Source organism: Homo sapiens, chromosome 22 (assembly GCF_000001405.40).
Source record: "Homo sapiens chromosome 22, GRCh38.p14 Primary Assembly".
In the NCBI taxonomy this organism is placed as follows: domain Eukaryota; kingdom Metazoa; phylum Chordata; class Mammalia; order Primates; family Hominidae; genus Homo; species Homo sapiens.
The window spans coordinates 42,766,556-42,787,250 of NC_000022.11; the positions used below are offsets into that span (position 1 = coordinate 42,766,556).

Consider the following 20,695-nt stretch of genomic DNA (forward strand, 5'->3'; position numbering starts at 1 on the left):
ACAGAGCAAGACTCTATCTCAAAAATAAATAAATAAATAAAAATAAATAAAAAATAATGTACTTAGGCCGGGCATGGGGGCTCATGTCTATCATCCCAGTACTTTAGGGGGCTGAGGCGGGAGGATCTGTTGAGCCCAGGAGTTGGAGACCACTGTGGGCAACACAGCAAGACCCCATCTCTACCCAAAATAATTATACTGTGCTTAGCTGGACACTTCTCAGGTTCTCAGTGTTGCACAGGGTCTCCTGATTCTCCACCCTGGAAGTGAAGGATTTAATTCCCTCTCACACATAGAACCCCCCAACTGTCCCCACCCCCAACATAATTTTGGTGAGACAGACATTCAGTGTCTACGTTACTATGCGGGTGCAGCTCACGCTGAGCCGTGCAGCAGGCTGGGGTTCCTCATTTTCCCTGGAGTGCATCTGGTTCCCAGGCCACTTGTGCCCCAGTTTCTTCCTGGGGCTGTGACTTCACCTCTGCACTCTCCTTCCGCTATGTAAGCCGCCTCTCCACGTGTTCAGACACATTGGAACAGTTTCCTCCCAGAGCCTCCTGACCATCCCCTGTGGCCTGGTGCCTGGCCTCTGTCATCTGGCACCCACTCTCTCCTATCAGTTGGCTCCTGCTGCCTGGACCCCATCTTCCTCTATGTGGCTGCCCCTCGTTTTGCTCATGCCCACCCTCCAAGACTTCTTTTTTTTTTAAATATATATAATGGGGACGGGGTGCGGTAGCCCATGCCTGCAATTCCAGCACTTTGGGAGGCCGAGGCGGGCGGATCACCTGAGGTCAGGAGTTCGAGACCAGCCTGGCCAACATGGAGAAACCCCGTCTCTACTAAAAATACAAAAATTAGCCGGTTGTGGTGGTAGACGCCTGTAATTCCAGCTACTCAGGAGGCTGAGACAGGAGAATCGCTTGAACCCAGGAGGCAGAGGTTGCGGTGAGCCGAGATCGTGCCATTGCACTCCAGCCTGGGAGACAGAGAGAGACTCTGTCTCAAAAAAAAAAAATATATATATATATATATATATATATATATATATTTTTTTTTTTTTTTTTTTTTTTTAATTATTTTTTTTTTGCCCACGGCACAGTTCCAAGAGATCTCGGGAACATGTTTCCCTCCATGGCCTTCTTTTTAATTAATTAATTTATTTATTTATTTTGAGACAGAGTCTTGCTGTCACCCAGGCTAGAGTGCAGTGGTGAGATCTCGGCTCACTGCAACCTCCACCTCCCAGGTTCAAGCAATTCTCCTGCCTCAGCCTCCTGAATAGCTGGGACTACAGGGGTGCACCACCACGCCTAGCTAATTTTTTCACATTTTTAGTGGAGACAGGGTTTCACCATGTTGGCCAGGCTGGTCTTGAACTCCTGACCTCAAGTGATCTGCCCACCTCAGCCTCCCAAAGTGCTGGGATCATAGGCATGAGCTACTGTGCCCAGCCATCTACTTCTATTTAAGAAAGGGGCAGCAAACAGTGGCTTAGACACCCTGTGCCACGTGCAGGATTCATCCATGTGGGACTCACATAAGAGGACCAGCTGGACGGTTTTCCTGGGCGAACTGCTGATGTCACTATCTTTGGGTCTTTTCTCTTGAGTTGCTTGGACTTTGGAAAAGGATGTTACAAGGCCGTACAGAGGGCAGCTGAGGGGGCCAACCAGGTCTGGTGGAAGGCGAAGTGGCCCCCAAAGATGTCCCAGTCCTGATCCCTGGTAGCTGGGAAGATGTTGTTACAAGACAAAAGGAAATTTGCAGGTGTAATTAAGGTTACGAACCTTAAAATAGGGAGGGAAATTATCCTAGACATGGCTGGGATAGTGGGTCTGGTCCAGTCCCATGAGCTGTAAGAGCAGAAAAGGACTTTCTCTGGCTGGAAGCAGAAGAGAGACCAGGCCGAATGGGAAGCCAGAGAGTTTCCAAGTGTGAGGACTGGACATGCCGCTGCCGGCTCCGAGACGGGGGCCCACGGGCAAGGACAGAGACAGGCCTCTACTTGCTAAGGCTGGGCCCTGGCTGACAGCCAGCCAGGGAACAGGGACTTCAGTCCTATAGCCACAGAAACCAGATCCCACCAACCACCTGCGCGGACTCAGAAGGCAACTCACTTGCAGAGCCTCCGGAAGGGACACCCACCCAGCAGGCACTGGGCCCCCTCCAGCCACCCTCAGGCATGCGGGGCTGCAGCCAGAGAGGGGCACAGGGTCGGGCTTGGGCCTGTCAGACCCTCCCCTCCACAGTCTGAGTGACCTGGCCAGTGGCAGGATGGAGGCCTGAGAGGTGGCGCCGTTCACGGAACTGGGAGGGCCATGGGACCGGCTGGGGCGCTGGCTGACGGTGACGGGCGTGTGTGTGAGAACCTGAATGGATGAGGGTGGGTGGGTGGGTGGTGGGGTGGAGGCAGCTCCCTCCCCGTTTACTGGGGTGTGACTTGAGCACCTCGCAAGCACAGGCAGTGCCTCAGCCGCTTACTCTGTGAGGGGCCGACCGTGCCCACCTGCAGGCCCACTGTGTGCCGGGCACCCTGAGCCCCGCGTTTCCAGTGGCTCCAACTCTCCCACAGGTGACCCGGTGGATGCTGCTCTCCTCTGTGTGAGGGAGGAAGCGAGGGGACTGTCATGGCCCACGAGCCTGTTCGCCTCCACAAGCGGCTCCCAACCCCAGGCTCCTTCCAGCAAACCCTTGGAAAGGTCATAGAGCCTGGATGCCCCAGGCCTTGAGGGGCAGAGGGTGGGGGGCAGCAGGGTGGACAGGCGCCCCTTGGGCCATTCTGAAGGGTTCAGGGCTTCACCTGGGAGGGTCTGCGCTGTGGAGAGGCAGGAGACCCCGTGGCAGGAGGAAGGGACCCTCAGGGCTCCCAGCCAGGGAGGGGGTGGCTCGAGTCACGTGGAGACCGTGGGCTTGGGAGGCTCAGGAGTCCGGGATCGGGAGGGTCTGCAGGCCCACCGGCTGCGGGTGGAAGGTGAGGGCCTCCAGAGTGGCCTGAATGGCTTGGTGGGGGCCGCAGGGGCTGGCTGGGCCTGGGGTGAGGTGAGGAGGTGACGGGGGAGGCGGCTGGAGTGTGGAGCTGCAGGGGCCCCTTTGAGGGACACGGGTCCCACAGGAGCGTCCACTGGACTTAGGTGTCCAGGCAGTGATGCCTTGTGCCTGGCTCCGGCCCTGGGTGCCTGGACAAACAGGGGCCTTCCCAAGCAGGGCGTCGTGGTGTAGACAAGGGCAGCCAACCGTGCGACAAGGAGGACAGCCACAGGGCAGCGGAGAGGAAGTGAGAGCTTGTGGGAGAGGTCATGTCCGGTGCGGGGGCGAACGGGGCCCCCACAGCCCAGGAGCAGGCCTCAGGGCACAGGGCACAGGGCACAGGTGGGTTCTCAGCCCGGCTGGGCGGCACCCTCTCTGCCCAGCGCCCCTGCAGGACCCCGCCGACCCGGCGGGACCAGCACAGGTGTCGGGCAGAGGGAAGCCGAGGAGCCCCTGATGTCTGGCTGCCGCCATCCGTCTGTCCGTGCTGGGCTGCAGCTGGCGTGACCTCCGCTGTGCTCCTGTTTTCGGCGAGACCAATGACTCACGCGAGCAAAATGATAAGAACCACAAACAGGGAACGCGGACGGGAGTGGGAGGGAGCAGAAGGCACGTGGTCCTGTGTAAATCCATCCCGGGACGCAGTGCAAACAATGGTCTCTGAGCCCACGTAACCACGCAGAGCGGGACGTTCCGGGATCAGTGGGGAGAGTCAGCTCCTTCCCGAGCCAAGCAGCAGCTGCGTGGGGGAGGGTCGCAATTATTTATTTTTGAGACAGGGTCTCGCCCTCTTGCCTAGGCTGGAGTGCAGAGTTACGATCACAGCTCACTGCAGTCTCGACCTACCAGGCTCAAGCGATCCTCTGGCTTCAGCCTCCCGAGTAGTTGGGACTATAGGTGCATACTTTCATGCCCAGCTAATTTTTTTTTCCCCAGTTTTTTGTAGAGATGGGGTCTTACTATGTTGCCCAGGCTGGTCTTAGACTTCTGGGCTTAAGAGATCCTCTTGCCTTGGCTTCCCAAAGTGCTGGGATTACAGACATGAGTTACCATGCTCAGCTGGGGAGGGGTGCAATTTTTATTTTTATCTTTATTTTTTTGAGACGGAGTTTCACTCCGTCACCCACGCTAGAGTATGATCTCGGCTCACTGCAACCTCCACCTCCCGGGTTCAAGCGATTCTCGTGCCTCAGCCTCCTGAGTAGCTGAGATTACAGGCACCCACCACCATGCCTGGCTAATTTTTGTATTTTTAGAGACAGGGTTTTGCTGTGTGGCCCAGGCTGGTCTCAAACTCCTGAGCTCAAGCGACCCCCCTGCCTCGGCCTCCCAAAGTGCTGGGGTTACAGGCGTGAGCCACTGCGCCCGGCTCTGAGGTGATTTCCTAATGCTGCATTTTAAGAGAGAATTTGTTCCTGGGAAAGGCTGTGTGTGTAAGACGAACCTCTGTCTCCCACTCCTCTCTCTTTGCTGACCCGATTCCTCTTGGCGCAGAGGTTCAGAAACATCCCCTGGCCCTCACTGGCTTCATCTCAAGAACAGAAGTACAATAAGTACCTTTTCCGCACCACTGCCTGAGCCCTCAGTCCAGCCTTCACCGGTTTCCACCTGGTCCTTGGATTGTCGTTATCACCTTTTTCTTTTTTAATCGATAGATCCAAAATGTGTTTTGTTTAACAAATATTAACTAACATCTTTCATATACTAAGCACTCATGCAAAATGATTACATAATAAAACACAAAAGCTGAAAGATGAATGGGCCAAGAACACACACTAAACTCACACACACACACATCTGTGCACTCAGGCAGGGGGAATGGGCCCACCAGATGGGACCGGCCACCCGCCCCACGGCTGAGGGAGCCTGCCTGGCAGGGTCCAGCACTGGGCCCAGCATCCTCCCTGAGACACCTGTGGCTGCTGGGCCCTAAAAGCATCAGATGGAAAGCTTGGGAAGGAGTCCCAGTGAGGCCTGGGGTTGGACGGTGCTGGGGAAACCCACGTTCATACGTTTGGAGTTAGAGAGAGCCACCTAGGGCTGCCTTTCACTCACCCTCCATGTGAAATGGGAATATGACCTGCTGGGAGGGTTTCTGGAAGACGGAACGACCACACAGCAACCGGTCGAGTCCAGGCCCCAGCCTGGAGCAGGCTCTCCCAGTGTGGGAAGTTTGTTGATGTCTTTTTCTGAGACAGGGTCTCGCTCTGTTGCCCAGGCTGGAGTGCAGTGGCACAATCACAGCTCACTGCAACCTCTGCCTTCCTGGGCTCAAGTGATTCTCCCACCTCGGCCTCCCACGTAACTGGGACCACAGGCATGTGCCACCACGCCCAGCTAATGTTTGCATTTTTTGTAGAGACAAGGTCTCGCTATGTTGCCCAGGCTGTTCTTGAACTCCTGGGCTCAAGCGATTCGCCTGCCCCAGCCTCCTAAAGTGCTGGGATTACAGGTGTGAGCCACCGTGCCCGGCCCCAGTGTGGGAATTTCCTACGGACACTGCTACAGATGGAACTGTGACATCACCAACCCCATCTTCAATATTCCTATCCCCTGAGTGACTGTATTGGCGATAAGGTGTTAGAAGGACACAGGGGAGGGCCCTTCCACAGGAAGAGGAACAGGTACCGGAGAGCTCTCCCTTCCCCTCTGCACACACAGAGGAAGGCCATGTGCGAGGGGGGCCACCTACAAGCCAGGAAAAGAGGCCTCACCAGAAACCAACCGCGATGGCGCCTTCATCTTGGACTTCAGCCTCTGGAACTGTGAGAAAATAAAAGTCTGTTGCTGAAGCCCCAGTCTGTGGGATCTTGTCACAGCAGCCTACCCTCCCGGAGACTGACCTACACATCTTCCCCTCCCCTCCCCTCCCTTCCCTTCCTCTCCCCTCCTCTCATGTCCCCTCCCCTCCACTCCCCTCTCCTCCCCTTCCCTTCCTTCCCCTCCTCTCATCTCCCTTCCCCTCCCCTCCCTTCTCCTCCCCTCCCCTCTCTTTTCCTCCCCTCCCCTCTACTCTCCTCTCCCCTTCCTTCTCTTCTCCTCCCCTCCCCTCATCTCTCTTCCCCTCCCCTCCCCTCTCCTCCCCTCTCCAGGCACAGGCAACCCAAGGCTAGAGATGGGACAGGAGGATGGGGTGAGTGGGAGCAGCCTGTGAGATCCCCTGGAGAGGCCTTGGTGGGGCTGAAAGAGGAGCAGAGGTGGGAGTAGGCACAGGGCCCTACAATTGTAGGAGAACTCCAGGCTCCCCGCTTGGCTGAGCCGATCCTCCACCCCCAGCCCATCAGCAGAGGCCCACCTGCCCCTCTCATCTCATCTCCTGGGTACTCCAACTGGCTAAACAACAGCCCTACCCCCAGTGCTGTGCCTTTGCACATGCTGCCACCCCCATCCCCGCTCCTCCTGCTCTATTGTGGCAGCCTCTCCCCAAAATGCAACCCCAGGGCCCTGCCCTCAGAAGGCCTCCTGGACCGCCAAGCCCTCATGTGGCCCTGCTGTCCGTCCCTGCAGCCTCCGTCCCTGAGCCTAGACCCTGAGCCTGGCCCGACAAGGATCTGGAGAACATGACATCACAGTTGATACAACAGAGTCTCCGATGGCCCGACCCAGGCAGAGACCTCGGATCTCTGTGGAAGGACGAGGTCTGGAGAGCAGCCCCTCCTCTGGGAGGGAATCCCAGGGCAGCCGTGCCTGTCCCCTGTTCCCTCAACCCCCTGTAGGGCTGGCCCCAGCCTCTGTCACACCCTTATCTACTCCTGCTGGCATTGCCTGGCAGCGGCGGGGAACCAGGCAGACATGAGCAGACACCGTCTGTGTCCACTACACACTCCTGCTGATGCGGTGTGGTGAAGACAAGTCTGCCCAGACACAACACCACGAGGCAGGAAGCACGGAGGTTGGGGGGACCCTGGGGAGGGCGGGCAGCCCAAGCCCAGCAGGCACCTGCTTCTGCCGCTGCCTCACTCTGCAGCCCTTGGGCGTGGCTATTGCGGCTGCTGACCCTGCTGCAATCCCCAGTTCTAGCCATTCTCTTTTCTGGGCCTCCAAGGTCATTCATCAGACATATTTGTCTCCACAAATATCCAAGGTTTAATACTCTCTGTATTTGTTTCTAATTCAGGCATCATAAAATTCTGAACTTGCTATTTAGAATATGAAATTGCTAATGGAAGATTGTTAAAAAAAGACTAGAAATTTTTAAATTTCTGGCACAGGTAAGCACTCATATATGTTGAATGAGTGAATGTAAGGACAATAGGATATAATAATTTGGGATCAGATTATTAGGCTATCTAAAATTTACCATGAATCCAGTTCGTGAAAAAGTGTTAGTGAAATAATTATATTGACTTAACCTCAACTTTAAAAGTCAATCATTGGGCTGGGTGCGGTGGCTCATGCCTGCAATCACAGCACTTTGGGAGGCCAAGGCGGTGGATCACCTGAGGTCAGGAGTTCGAGACCAGCCTGACCAACACGGAGAAACCCCGTCTCTACTAAAAATACAAAATTAGCAGGGCGTGTGGCACATACCTATAATCCCAGCTACTCAGGAGCTGAGGCAGAAGAATCATTTGAACCCAGGAGGCGGAGGTTGCAGTGAACCGAGGTTGCACCATTGCACTCCAGCCTGGGTGACAGAGCGAAACTCCATGTCAAAAAAAAAAAAAAAAAGTGAATCAATGTTCAACTATCCATGAATTTATCTAAATATTTTCAAATTTATATTATAGTTTCAGACTAGAAATTTTAGAAATAACAATTCTCAAATGTTTATATTGTAATGAAAAAACATACTTCTGTTCAAAAACTGCCTTCTTAATATCATTCCTCTATTTCATGGTAGTAGCTGCTCCAGACAGCCTGCCACTGCTGCAGCGGGGAGGTGCTACCCGGGCTACACGTTCCATGGAGCTGGCAGGAGCCCTGCCCCTTCTGAGTTGCAAGTCTGTAACTTCTGCAGCCACCCAAGTTGTGGCTGCAGATCTGAGCCTTCCTGTGCTCTTGCGGGGCAAGCAGGTAGGAGCCCTGTTCTCCTGGGTGCCACTGCAGCCACCCAAACTGTGGCTGCAGACCCGGGCCTCCTGCTCCACAGAATAGCCAGGAGCCCTGCCTCCTCTGGACGCACCTGCAGCCACCCAAACTGGTGGCTGCAGCTTCAGGCATCCCTCCACTCTTGGGGGCCTGGGAAGGCCCCCCCTCCCCGCCCTCACAGGCTCAAAAGTACCTGCCCCCACTGCCTGGCTTCTCCCTACTGTTGGCTGTCAACACCCACTCTGATCTCAGAGTAAAGCTGGGCTGAGCAGGGGCCATGAATGGCAGTGGGAGGCGGATTCCTGGGCAGAAGCCGGGGATACCCGATAAGACCCCACTTTCAGACCAGGGAGGGCCTGAAGGCTGAAGGCTGGGCTGCCAGATCCACAGACCAGAGTGGGGACCTGTGGTACCTCTTCTGGGTGCCCATGCACCAACTGGCATGCATTTCCTCCTCTCTGAGGTCCGTAAACACCCCAGTCTCAGCCAGAGCAAGGCAGAGGATGGAGAAACAACTGGAGACTGGATGACCAGCTGCAGAGAGGAGCTACCTTCTCTACTGAGAGCTGGGAAGTCAACAGGGACCTGCCTGCAGAGTGGAGCCACCCACTCCAGGGCCTCCAGGGCCTCCTCCCTATGGAGAGCTGAACACTGGAGGAGATGACCTGCTTACAGAGAGGAGCTGCCCACTGCGGGTCTCCTCTGAGCTGTCCTAAGATTCAGTAGAGCTTTTCTTTGTCTTGCTCACCCTCCACTTGTCTGTGTACCTCATTCTTCCTGGACACAGGACAAGAACTCAGGCAAAGGCTGGGATTACAGGCGTGAGCCCCTGTGCCCGGCCCAGTACCTTGACTTTGCTGCAATGCATTCCACTTCCTGTACCATTTGTTTATTTTTATTTTTATTTTATCATTATTTTTTGAGACAGAGTCTACTCTGTCCCCCAGGCTGGAGTGCAGTGGTGCGATATTGGCTCACTGCAACCTCCGCCTCCTGAGTTCAAGCAATTCTCCTGCCTCAGCCTCCCAAGTAGCTGGGACTACAGGCACATGCCACCATGCCCGGCTAATTTTTGTGTTTTTAGTAGAGACTGGGTTTTGCCATGTTGGCCAGGATGGTCTCGAACTCCTGACCTCAAGTGATCCACCTGCCTTGGCCTCCCAAAGTATTGAGATTACTGGCGTGAGCCACCACACCTGGCCCAGTACCTTGATTTTGATGCAATGCATTCAACTTCCTGTATCATTTAAATGTAGTGGAATTGTTATAAAGACTAATGTTATAGGCCAGGCGCGGTGGCTCACACCTGTAATCCCAGCACTTTGGGAGGCCGAGGCAGGCGAATCACAAGGTCAGGAGTTCGAGCTCAGCCTGGCCAACATGGTGAAACCCTGTCTCTACTAAAAATACAAAAAATTAGCTGGGTGTGGTGGTGGGTGCCTGTAATCCCAGCTACTTGGGAGGTTGAGGCAGGAGAATCGCTTGAACCCAGGAGACGGAGGTTGCAGTGAGCCAAGATTGAGCCACTGCACTCCAGCCCAGGCGACAGTGCGAGACTCTATCTCAAAAAAAAAAAAAAAAAGATGAATGTTATACCTCCCAGTTTTCTGGATAATGTTCTCCGTAAGGTTTATACATTGACTACGATGCCAATTATAGTTAAGGGCAAGCTTGTTTCTCATAAATGATGTGACTTCAAGTTAATTACTTGGCTTTTTTTTTTTTTTTTTGCTGGCCCTAAGTTTATTGTCTGTATCTGAAAAATCATCATAGAAAATTGTTTGGTTTAGCTCTCAGCAGCCCGCTCCTGAGCTCTGAGGAAGCTTGCCTTCTTTTGAGCTACCTGATCCTTCTTCTGAGCAAGGGGCATTTTGGGAAGGTTCCACCTCTCCTTTTTAACTTCTTTCTTGGGCTTCTTTTCATAGACTGGATTCTCTCGTATAGCAGCATGAGCTTTCTTATACATCTCCTCCATCATGTCTGGAGTTACGCTGTTCTTTATGTATTGAGAGAACTGTTTCTTGTAAGCATCGTCATCTTCTTCCATTAAGTAGCGCATGTAATCTGCAACATTCTGGCCCATGAAGTGCTTCTGGTGTACTCCTGCATTAAATTCCTTGCTTTCAGAATCATAACCAGGGAATCATTTGGTGCTGTGAGGGACAGACAAGCCTCCATCCACAACTCCCTTCAGGGCGCCAAAAACTTTATTGCCAGTGGTAGTTCTGGCAAGACCTGCATCCATACAGCAGGTGAAGGCACCTGGCTGACCATCAGTACTTTCCACATTGTATTTATCGCCAGTCACCTCCACTTGGCCGTCATAGATCTTGTCCATGCCAAACCTATCAAGAAGCCTGCGGGCCAGCAGCAGGCCAGTACAATATGCAGCAGCATAATTTGTCGGGCCAACCTTCACACCGTATTTTGGCAGTTCGTGTGCATATGCCGCGCAGACTATCATATCCCCCTCTATACGGGCATAAGCAATCTGACAAATGATATCTCTGTCAGTTACACGAACAATCATCCTATACTTGGGTGTGTTGTATTTATTTTTATCCTGTATCACCAAGCGTTTCCGAGCATAGTAATCAGTTTTACCCTCTCGTCGTCTTCTAAATTTCACTTGGTATCTGTTAAAGTAGGCCTTATTCTTAACAACTTTAACAAACCCCATCCAGCGGAACAGAGACCCGCGTCCGCGGCTCGACAGAGACCTGCAGGCCCAGCGGTGCCAGGGAGGGGAAGAGGCTACTTGGCTTTTTTGAGCCCAAAAGCCTGAATTTGTTATATGATGGGATCAGAATCCTTTGTCTCTGAAATTCTTTTCAACTCTAGTTGTGGGTCATTCTATATTTTAGTCAATAGTTAAGTTATCCATAAAAATGACATATTTCTTCTAAAGCCAAAATAGAAAATCTGTCTTCTTTAAGAGCAATTTCTGACCGGGCATGGTGGCTCATGCCTGTAATCCCAGCACTTTGGGAGGCCAAGGCAGGTGGATCACCTGAGGTCAGAAGTTCGAGACCAGCCTGACCAGCATAGTGAAACCCCGTCTGTACTAAAAATACAAAAATAAGCCGCTTGTGGTGGCTCATGCTTGTAATCCCAGCTACTTGGGAGGCTGAGGCAGGAGAATCGCTTGAACCTGGGAGGCAGAGGTTGCAGTGAGCCGAGATCGTGCCATTGCACTCCAGTCTGGGCAACAAGAGTGAAACTCCATCTCAAAATAAATAAATAAATAAATGCAGAAGGAATAATAAAATTAGAAAATTACTATTTTTTTCAAATCCTTTATGAAATGATGAATCTAAGTAATAATCATCAGTGTTGTTGTTGTTTTTTTTTTTTTTTAGACGGAGTCTCGCTCTGTTGCCAGGCTGGAGTGCAGTGGTGCAAACTTGGCTCACTGCAACCTCCACTTTCTGGGTTCTAAAGAGTTCTCCTGCCTCAGCCTCCCAAGTAGCTGGGACTATAGGCCCACGCCATAACACCTAGCTACTTTTTGTATTTTTAGTAGAGACAGGGTTTCACCATGTTGTCCAGGATGGTCTCGAACTCCTGACCTCGTGATCTGCTCCCCTCGGCCTCTTAAGTGCTGGGATTACAGGCGTGAGCCACAGCGCCCAGCCAATCATCAGTGGTTTCTAAAACCATTGGGTGAAAGATAGATAAGAAACCTTATTACTGTATCTATTGATGAATCAGGCCAACCACATTTGAACAACATTTGATTGATAACAAGACATTATGTGCCTCTTGATGTGGTACCATCGGAAGTACATAGAGAATAGAGTATACATATATAAAGTGGCTGGAAGCAGTGGCTCATACCTGTAATCCCAGCACTTTGGGAGGCCGAGGCGGGCGGATCACCTGTGGTCAGGGGTTCGAGACCAGCCTGGCCAGCATGGTAAAACCCCGCCTGTACTAAAAATATAGAAAATTAGCTGGGGGTGGTGGTACACGCCTGTAGTCCCAGCTACTCAGGAAGCTGCGGCAGGAGAATCACTTGAATCTGGGAAGCAGAGTCGGCAGTGAGCTGAGATCATGCCATTGGATTCCAGCCTGGGCAACAGAGCAAGACTCGTATAAAAAAAAAATACAGTATACATATATATCCTTACCTAAATAAATAATTTTTTTTTTTTTGAGATGGACTTTTCGCTCTTTTTGCCCAGGCTGGAGTGCAATGGCGCGATCTCAGCTCGCCACAACCTCTGCCTGCTGGGTTCAAGCAATTCTCCTGCCTCAGTCTCCTGCCTCAGTCTCCCAAGTATCTGGGATTACAGGCGCCTGCCACCACGCTCGGCTAATTTTTGTATTTTTTGTATTTTTTTTTTTTTTTGAGACAGTCTTGCTCTGTCGCCCAGGCTGGAGTGCAGTGGCACGATCTCCGCTCACTGCAAGCTGCGCCTCCTGGGTTCACGCCATTCTCCTGCCTCAGCCTCCCGAGTAGCTGGGACTACAGGCGCCCGCCACCACGCCTGGCTAATTTTTTTGTATTTTTAGTAGAGACGGGGTTTCACCGTGTTAGCCAGGATGGTCTCGATCTCCTGACCTTGTGATCCGCCCGTCTCGGCCTCCCAAAGTGCTGGGATTACAGGCGTGAGCCACCGCGCCTGGCAATTTTTGTATTTTTAGTAGAGACAAGGTTTTACCATGTTGGTCAGGCTGGTCTCGAACTCCGGACCTCAGGTGATCCGCCTGCCTCAGCCTCCTAAAGTGCTGGGATTACAGGCGTGAGCCACTGCACCTGGCCTAAATAAATACATTTTAAAAATGGAATCAGAAGCAAGCCTCTAAATCTCTCTTTTTTTTTTTTGAGACAGAATTTTGCTCTTGTTGCTCATGCTGGAGTGCAATGGCGTGATTTCAGCTCACCGCAACCTGTTTCCCGGGTTCAAGCGATTCTCCTGCCTCAGCCTCCCAAGTAGCTGGGATTACAGGCATGCGCCACAACACCCAGCTAATTTTGTATTTTTAGTAGAGACGGGTTTCTCCATGTTGGTCAGGCTGACCTCGAACTCCCGACCTCATCTGATCCGCCCGCCTTGGCCTCCCAAAGTGCTGGGATTACAAGCGTGAGCCACCATGCCCAGCAATAAGCCTCTAAATCTTACTATCAGTTTATCAGAAATACTATTCTGTATTCATTAAAATGAGAAAACTTAGTGAGTCTGAACTTAGCAAGCTTAGTGACAAGGTAGAATACTGTAAACTGCCAGGCACGGTCGCTCACACCTGTAATCCCAGCACTTTGGGAGGCCGAGGCAGGAGGATCACCTGAGGTCAGGAGTTTGAAACCAGCCTGGCCAATGTGGTGAAACCCCATCTCTACTAAAAATACAAAAATTAGCTGGGCATGGTGGTGGGTGCCTGTAATCCCAGCTACTTGGGAGGCTGAGGCAGGAGAATCGCTTGAACCTGGGAGGCGGAGGTTGCAGTGAGCCGAGATCACGCCACTGCACTCTAGCCTGGGCGACAAGAGTGAAATTGCATCTCAAAAATCAAAACAAAACAAAAAAACACACAAAAACAAAAACATTGGCAACTCTCACACCCTGCTGATAGGAATGCAAATTGTCCTATGCAGTTTGAATTTGACAGTACATACAAAATGGGAAAAAATCATCCCCTTGCCACTAGATGGCGCTTACTGGCTTTCAAGTACTTTATCGCATGTATTGTCTTCTGTTACATTGCTGCCTTCCTGTTTTTACTTCTCAAGGATGGCTGGAGGAAGGGGCTGGGCACTAGGGATTAGAGCCTCACAAGAATGCTGTAATCTGGATCCCAACAGCCATATCTGCTGTGGAACCATGTTGCCCCAGGGGACACATCTCTGAGCGTTGCTGTCTTCCCTAGCCACTTACATTATTCAGTTCCTTAGCAATATCTATCTCTGATACTGTGTTAAGGGTCTTTTTCTGAAGAATACACATTTTAATAAGTCTAATTTTTAATTATTTCACATAATATCTGTGCTATTTAACTTTTCTCTTTTTTATTATTATATTTATTTTTTTAATTTATTTTTTGAGACAAAGTCTAGCTCTGTTGCCCAGGCTGGAGTGCAGTGGCGCAATCTTGGCTCACTGCAACCTCTGCCTCCTGGGTTCAAGCGATTCTCCTGCCTCAGCCTCCCAAGTAGCTGGGATTACAGGCATGCGCTACTAAGCCTGGCTAATTTTGTATTTTTAGTAGACACGGTTTCTTCACGTTGGTGAGGCTGGTCTCGAACTCCCGACCTCAGGTGATCCACCTGCCTCAGCCTCCCAAAGTGCTGGGATTACATGCGTGAGCCACCACACCTGGCCTACTGAAGCATTCTATTCAAAATATTCCTATTCTGTTTCAAAAATATTAATTGCCCATCCCTGGGGTAATATCACACTTCCTGCTCCACAGAAATCAGGTTTGGAGACATAATTTGTTTTAGCCAATAGTATATGGGCAGAAGTTATGTTTGTCACTTCCAAGCAGAAGCTTCAAGAGCCAGAATGTGACTTGCTGTGGGGTTTTTGGTTTGTTTTTCTTTTTCCCTGCTATGAGATCAGTCATGTTCTAGAGGCTGTTTCATCAGCTTGGGTCCCAACGTGAAAATATTGGCCATCTACAGTGGACCTGAATGAGAAGTAAACCTTTATCTCCGTAAGCTGCTGAGATGTTGGAGTCATTTGTTCCTGCAGCATAATGTATCGTATCCTGACCGATATACTGGCCATTTCTTATTTTTTATTTTTTTTGTGACAGAGTCTCGCTCTGTCGCCCAGGCTGGAGTGCAGTGGTACGATCTCGGCTCACTGCAAGCTCCGCCTCCCGGGTTCACGCCTCTCTCTCCTGCCTCAGCCTCCCGGAGTAGCTGGGACTACAGATGCCCGCCACCATGCCCGGCTAATTTTTTTGTATTTTTAGTAGAGATGGGGTTTCACCATGTTAGCCAGGATGGTCTCGATCTCCCGACCTCGTGATCCGCCCACCTCGGCCTCCCAAAGTGCTGGGATTACAGGCGTGAGCCACTGCGCCCGGCTCTGGCCATTTCTTAAACATCCTTTCAGACCAGTCATGACCTCTGTGAGGTTCTGCACATGCATGGCTGCCTAATAGTTAATGATACAAGTAAACATTTTGTCTGGGTGATATGGATTGGATCTGAATCCCCACCCAAGTCTCATGATCTGTTGTAATCCCCAGTGTTCCAGGTAGGGCTCGGGGGAAGGCCATTGGATCATGGGGCAGAGTTCTCGTGAATGGATTAGTACCATCTCTCTTGGTACTGGATAGTGAGATCTCACGAGATCTGGCTGTTTAAAAGTGGATAACACCTCCTGTCTCTCTCTCTCAGTCCTGCGCTTGCCATGGAAGACTCATGCTCCCACTTGCCTTCTGCCTTCTGCTTTGAAGCTCCTTGAGGCCTCCCCAGAAGCAGAAGCCACTATGCTTTGTGTACAGCCTGCAGAACCATGAGCCAATTAAAGCTCTTTTCCTTATAAATTACCCAGTCTCAGGTATTTCTTTATAGCAGTTCAACAAGTGACGAATACATTGGGGAAAGCTCCATTGCATGCCCCCCCACTTTTTTTTTTTTGAGACTGAGTTTCACTGTTGCCCAGGCTGGAGTGCAATGGTGTGATCTTGGCTCACTGCAACCTCCATCTCCTGGGTTCAAGCAATTTTCCTGCCTCAGCCTCCTGAGTAGCTGGGATTACAGGCACCCGCCACCACGCCTGGCTAATTTTTGTATTTTTAGAGGAGATGGGGTTTCACCATGTTGGTCAGGCTGGTCTCGAACTCCCGACCTCAGGTGATCCACCTAACTCAGCCTCCCAAAGTGCTGGGATTACAGGCGTGAACCAGCGCACCCGGCCCATTGCATGACTTTTGGCAAAAAAAAAAAAAAAAACAGGTTCTGCCCCCGACTAAGGAAGCCAAGAAGAGCAGATACTTGCTCTCCTAGAGTCCTTACAGCTAGAGAAGTGTGACGTGACTCCTATCCACTCCAGCCTGGGTAACAGAGTGAGTCTCACAAAAAAAAAAAAAAAAAAAAACCCAGAAAATAAAAAATGAGAGTCCATGAAAAGATTATTTCAAATTCATCCTTGACAGGAATTTAAATTCTTCTCCTCCATATAGATTGTTGTGAAAACACATTAATATTCTTTTTCCCTGGTGCGGAAGGAGGGAATAGAAAACCACTTTTTTTTTTTTTTTTTTGAGACGCAGTCTTGCTCTGTCACCCAGGCTGGAGTGCAGTGGCGCGATCTCGGCTCACTGCAAGCTCCGCTTCCCGGGTTCACGCCATTCTCCTGCCTCAGCCTCCCGAGTAGCTGGGACTACAGGCACCCACCAACACGCCTGGCTAATTTTTTGTATTTTTAGTAGAGACGGGGTTTCACTGTGTTAGCCAGGATGGTCTTGATCTCCTGACCTCAGGTGATCCACCCGCCTCGGCCTCCCAAAGTGTTGGGATTACAGGCGTGAGCCACTGCGCCTGGCCTAGAAAACCACTTCTATACTGCCTATCACCATGCATTGACTCTCACTCTGCTTTTTGGATCATTTTCTTCGGAAAAAGTTTCTCATAGTGTGTCTTGACTTTTTAAAAAGTTGTGTATTCAAAGCACTTAAACATGGCTGGGCGAGGTGGGAGGCTGAGGTGGGTGGATCATCTGAGGTCAGGAATTCAAGACTAGCCTGACCAACATGGCAAAGCCCTGTCTCTACTAAAAATACAAAAATTAGCCAGTTGTGGTGGCTCACACCTGTAGTTCCAGTTACTTGAGAGGCTGAGGCACAAGAATCTCTTGAACCCAGGAGGCAGAAGTTGCAGTGAGCCAAGATCACGCCACTGCACTCCAGTCTGGGTGACAGAGTGAGACTGTGTCTCAAAAAACAAAAACAGCCTGGGCGTGGTGGCTCACACCTGTAATCCTAGCCCTTTGGGAGGCCGAGGTGGGCGGATCACGAGGTCAGAGGATCAAGACCATCCTGGCTAACACGGTGAAACCTCGTCTCTACTAAAAATACAAAAAAATTAGCCGGGTGTGGTGGCGGGTGCCTGTAGTCCCAGCTACTCGGTAGGCTGAGGCAGAATGGCGTGAACCCGTGAGGCAGAGCTTACAGTGAGCCGAGATCGTGCCACTGCACTCCAGTCTGGGTGACAGAGCAAGACGCTGTCTCAAAAAAAAAAAAAAAAAAAAAAAAAAAAAAAAAAAGACTTAAACACACTGACAGATACTGAAGAATGCAGAAAATGGTATGAATGTGAATATCTGACTTTATACCGTGTCCTAGTGGCAGCAAACCCAAACAAAACCGAAGTGCTTTGTTTTGATCACATTCGTTGGGCTTCAGATGTCAACTAGGAACAGCTTTGGCTTGTGTTTGCAGCTTTTCCTCTGTTGCTTTTTCCCACCCTTAGCTTAGTAACAGTGATCTGGTCCTGTTAAACGTGGGTGTGGACTCATGCCATGACTGACTTGCTTCTCTATAGCTTTTCTAGTGCCGTATTTGCCTTGTCTAGAATATCCTGCCTGCCATATCTGATTCCTTTTCTAAGACTCATACTCAGGCCGGGTGCAGTGGCTCACTCCTGTAATCCCAGCACTTTGGGAGGCCACGGCGAGCAGATCACCTAAGGTCAGGAGTTCAAGACCAGCCTGGATAATATGGCAAAACCCCGTCTCTACTAAAAATACAAAAATTAGCCGGGCATGGTGGCGGGCGCCTGTAATCTCAGCTACTCGGGAGGCTGAGGCAGGGGAATTGCTTGCGTCCATGGCACTGAGGAACCTTCTCTCCTGCATGGCCCCCTAACCCCCTGCTCTGTCATATGACAGACGCCCAAAGACCATGCTGCTTCTCTGCAGCCATCTGATGACACCATGTTACCTGGCAGTGTCCATTCCCCTGGTGCCAGTCTCAGTAGCATGGCGGCACCTCAGGTGGGAGCCTCCCCCCCATCTGCCCACTGCCCTCCTGTACTTACTATGGATTCTCCTCTCCTTTCACAGGTAGCTTGTTCCCTAGTGCCAAGTGCCCTTCCTGGGACCGGGCTGGTGGAAGGCTCACACTGGGCTTTTCCTTGTGGTCTGGGGAGACGGAAGATTGTTGGAATGAGCTTGGGAGCTTGGCTCACCCCGTCCTGGGTGATTCTTACCAGAAATTGAATGACCACCTCATATGTTTCTTCCCACACAGAATCATGATGCTGACACTGGCCTCAATCTCATGGATGAAACCAAGTGTCTCCCATCGGGGCAGCAGTCTCTAGGCCAAGGGAGTCAGGGAAGCCACTGCTCATGACCTCCTTTCCCATCGAGCCACCTGCATCCCTCACCCCTGTGTCTCCACCTCCAGGACTTTCTCATCGACGGAGAGCCTGCGACAACTCTCCCAACAACTCAATAGTCTTGTTTGTGAGGTACCTCAGGAATTGAGGGGGGTGCGGGGGGAAGGAAAGTATGATAGAAACTGAGGCAGGGATTCACGAGAGAGAGGGGAGATCCTGGGACCAGCCGATTTGCTGGGCAGTGTTGAGGAAGTCACCTCTTCCCTGAGCCTTCTCCCTGGAAGCTGTTCACAGGGAGGAGGTGGACCCCGTGACTGGCTGCATCATTTTATGCTGCCGCAGAAGAACCGGATGAGAGTTGCTCGGGAGGGAGGGATGGTGGGGAGGTAAGAACCATGAGAGACGTTGGCACAAAGGGGTTACGGGACGAAGGGTCCAAGTTAGGCAGAAAAGTAAATGTTGCCAGTTGATGGGGAAGAAAGGAAGTCAGAGGGCTTAGACACTGGGGGACAGAACATCTCAGGTGCAATCTCCTCTCTCGTAGTCAACAACATCTGTCAAAGGGGAGGGCCTGCATCGTCTGCTAACCTGAAGGATCTGGAGGTGAGAGTTCCGGAGCCATAGCCCAGTGTCCCTGCAGCCCAGCCCTCCAACCTCCATCCCACAGCGGGGGCTGGGTGCCCCTCTGCCAGCTGAGGGAGCCCACACAGCTCCCAACCCTAATGCCTCCTCCCATAGAGCAGGCTGGATGCCCCTCTGCCAGCTGAGACAGCCCACACAACCCCCAGCCCTAATGATTGCTCTACCTGTCCTCACAGTCCTCTTCCACCTCCTTCTCTCTGCATGCACCTCAGGATGAGAGGCTGTGGGAGCAGGAGAAGACGCAGGAAGAGGAGAGGCTGCAGGAGCTGGGCATAAGGCCGAGCTCTGGGGGGAGCAGGTGAAGGCGCGCGTGCAAACCCTGGAGGCCATGCAGACCGAGCTCACCACCGTCAGCTGTGCGCTCTCCTAGAACCACGAGCTGGAGGAGCAGCTGGCCGAGCTGCAGAGCGGCTTCAAGGAGCTGGTGCTCAGCCCCACCTGGGGAGCCTCCCCTTCTCCCTAGCCCTCTGGGTCTTTGTTTCCCCACCTGTGAAATGGGCGTTGTAGCCCTCAACGTGAAATGGTACTTCTGAAGGCACCTGTGAGCCAGAGCCCTGCTCGGATGGCTGTTGGGGAGGGGGGATGGTTTTTCTCTAACCTGCCTCCACCCTTCCTGGGGCCATGGGAGACAAAAGGCAGACACCAAGTTCTGGGGTCTCCAGCTGCAGTGGGTGGCCACTGATTGCTTCTCTCTGTCCGGAACAAGGAGAACATGGAGATAGCCAGTCCGTTGCAGTCGGAGCTGCATGGCAAGAAGGAGCTGCAGGAGAAGCTGGGCTGAAGGAGACGGTAACCCTGCCCCATACAAAAAGGGCTAGGAGGTGGGTACCAGCCCCTGGGGAGGGGAGGTATGAGGTCAGAGGCAGCTCCAGCGTGGGGGACAGTGACCCCAGCGCCCTCCAGGGCAGTCCTGTGACTGTTTCTTGCTTCCTGCCCTCTGACTTTTAGAGGCGGGTAGCCCCGGGTCTGGACATCATCATACTGAATAGAGGCATGGAGCTGTCCAGTTATAGGGAAAGAGACAGTGGTATAAGAGGCTCCTTAGATTCAAAGTGGATACCGGCCTTGGCTCCACTGGTCACCATTCAACTACTTTGCATCTCTAAGTCTCGGTTTCATTAGTTAAAAAGGAAGTTAGCATCTTCCTCGCAGAGGTGCTGAGGATTAAGTGGGATAATACGTGGAAACATTAGGCATGTCGCACACTTAGCAGATGGTGCTTGGCTCCCTCTGCGTTTCCACCAGTCTGTGGCCTACAGTTCAAATGGTGGGAAGAAGGCTGTGAGATCTGAGGCTGGGGAAGGAGGCATGGAGCTCTAGGCAAGGGAGGCCGTCACTGAGGCCTAGAGCAAGGGGCCAGGGGCCTGGAGAGGTGAAAGAGTCCCACAGAGCCCTCGCTACCTTATTTATGGGCCCAGAATCTGGAAGCCAGCCACCACCTGCCTTTACGCCCAGGATCTTCTGCAGGTGGAACTGAAGAGCCAAGAGACTCAGAGTCTGCAGGGAGACCAATACCTGGGACACCTGTAGCAGTACCCAAGGGCACTGACTTCCATCCAGCCCAGGCGTCTTCCGTTCAGTCCCCCTGCCTCCCTCACTGGTCTGTGCCTCCGGAGTGCCGGCTGCCCCGCAGGCTCTCTCCAGGCTGAGTTTGTGGCCCTGCCCCATCATGGCCAGAGCCGGCTTCACAGGATG

At 52.0% G+C, this 20,695-nt stretch overlaps 2 pseudogenes, besides 3 other annotated features; one reads left to right on the top strand and one right to left on the bottom strand.

Annotated features, from left to right (window-relative positions):
* Positions 3,025 to 3,211: a silencer, noted in NCBI's record as "fragment chr22:43165586-43165772 (GRCh37/hg19 assembly coordinates)". NCBI's record gives its function as "represses an EF-1alpha promoter that drives an FKBP-Casp9 reporter gene in an ReSE screen in K562 erythroleukemia cells {active_cell/tissue: K562}" and the evidence as "EXISTENCE:reporter gene assay evidence [ECO:0000049][PMID:32094911]".
* Positions 3,134 to 3,193: an enhancer, noted in NCBI's record as "active region_19177". NCBI's record gives its function as "activates an Ori minimal core promoter by ATAC-STARR-seq in GM12878 lymphoblastoid cells {active_cell/tissue: GM12878}" and the evidence as "EXISTENCE:reporter gene assay evidence [ECO:0000049][PMID:35858748]".
* Positions 9,790 to 10,815, bottom strand: RPL5P34 (ribosomal protein L5 pseudogene 34; annotated as a pseudogene).
* Positions 13,622 to 13,671: a silencer, noted in NCBI's record as "silent region_13843". NCBI's record gives its function as "represses an Ori minimal core promoter by ATAC-STARR-seq in GM12878 lymphoblastoid cells {active_cell/tissue: GM12878}" and the evidence as "EXISTENCE:reporter gene assay evidence [ECO:0000049][PMID:35858748]".
* Positions 17,904 to 18,011, top strand: GOLGA2P4 (GOLGA2 pseudogene 4; annotated as a pseudogene).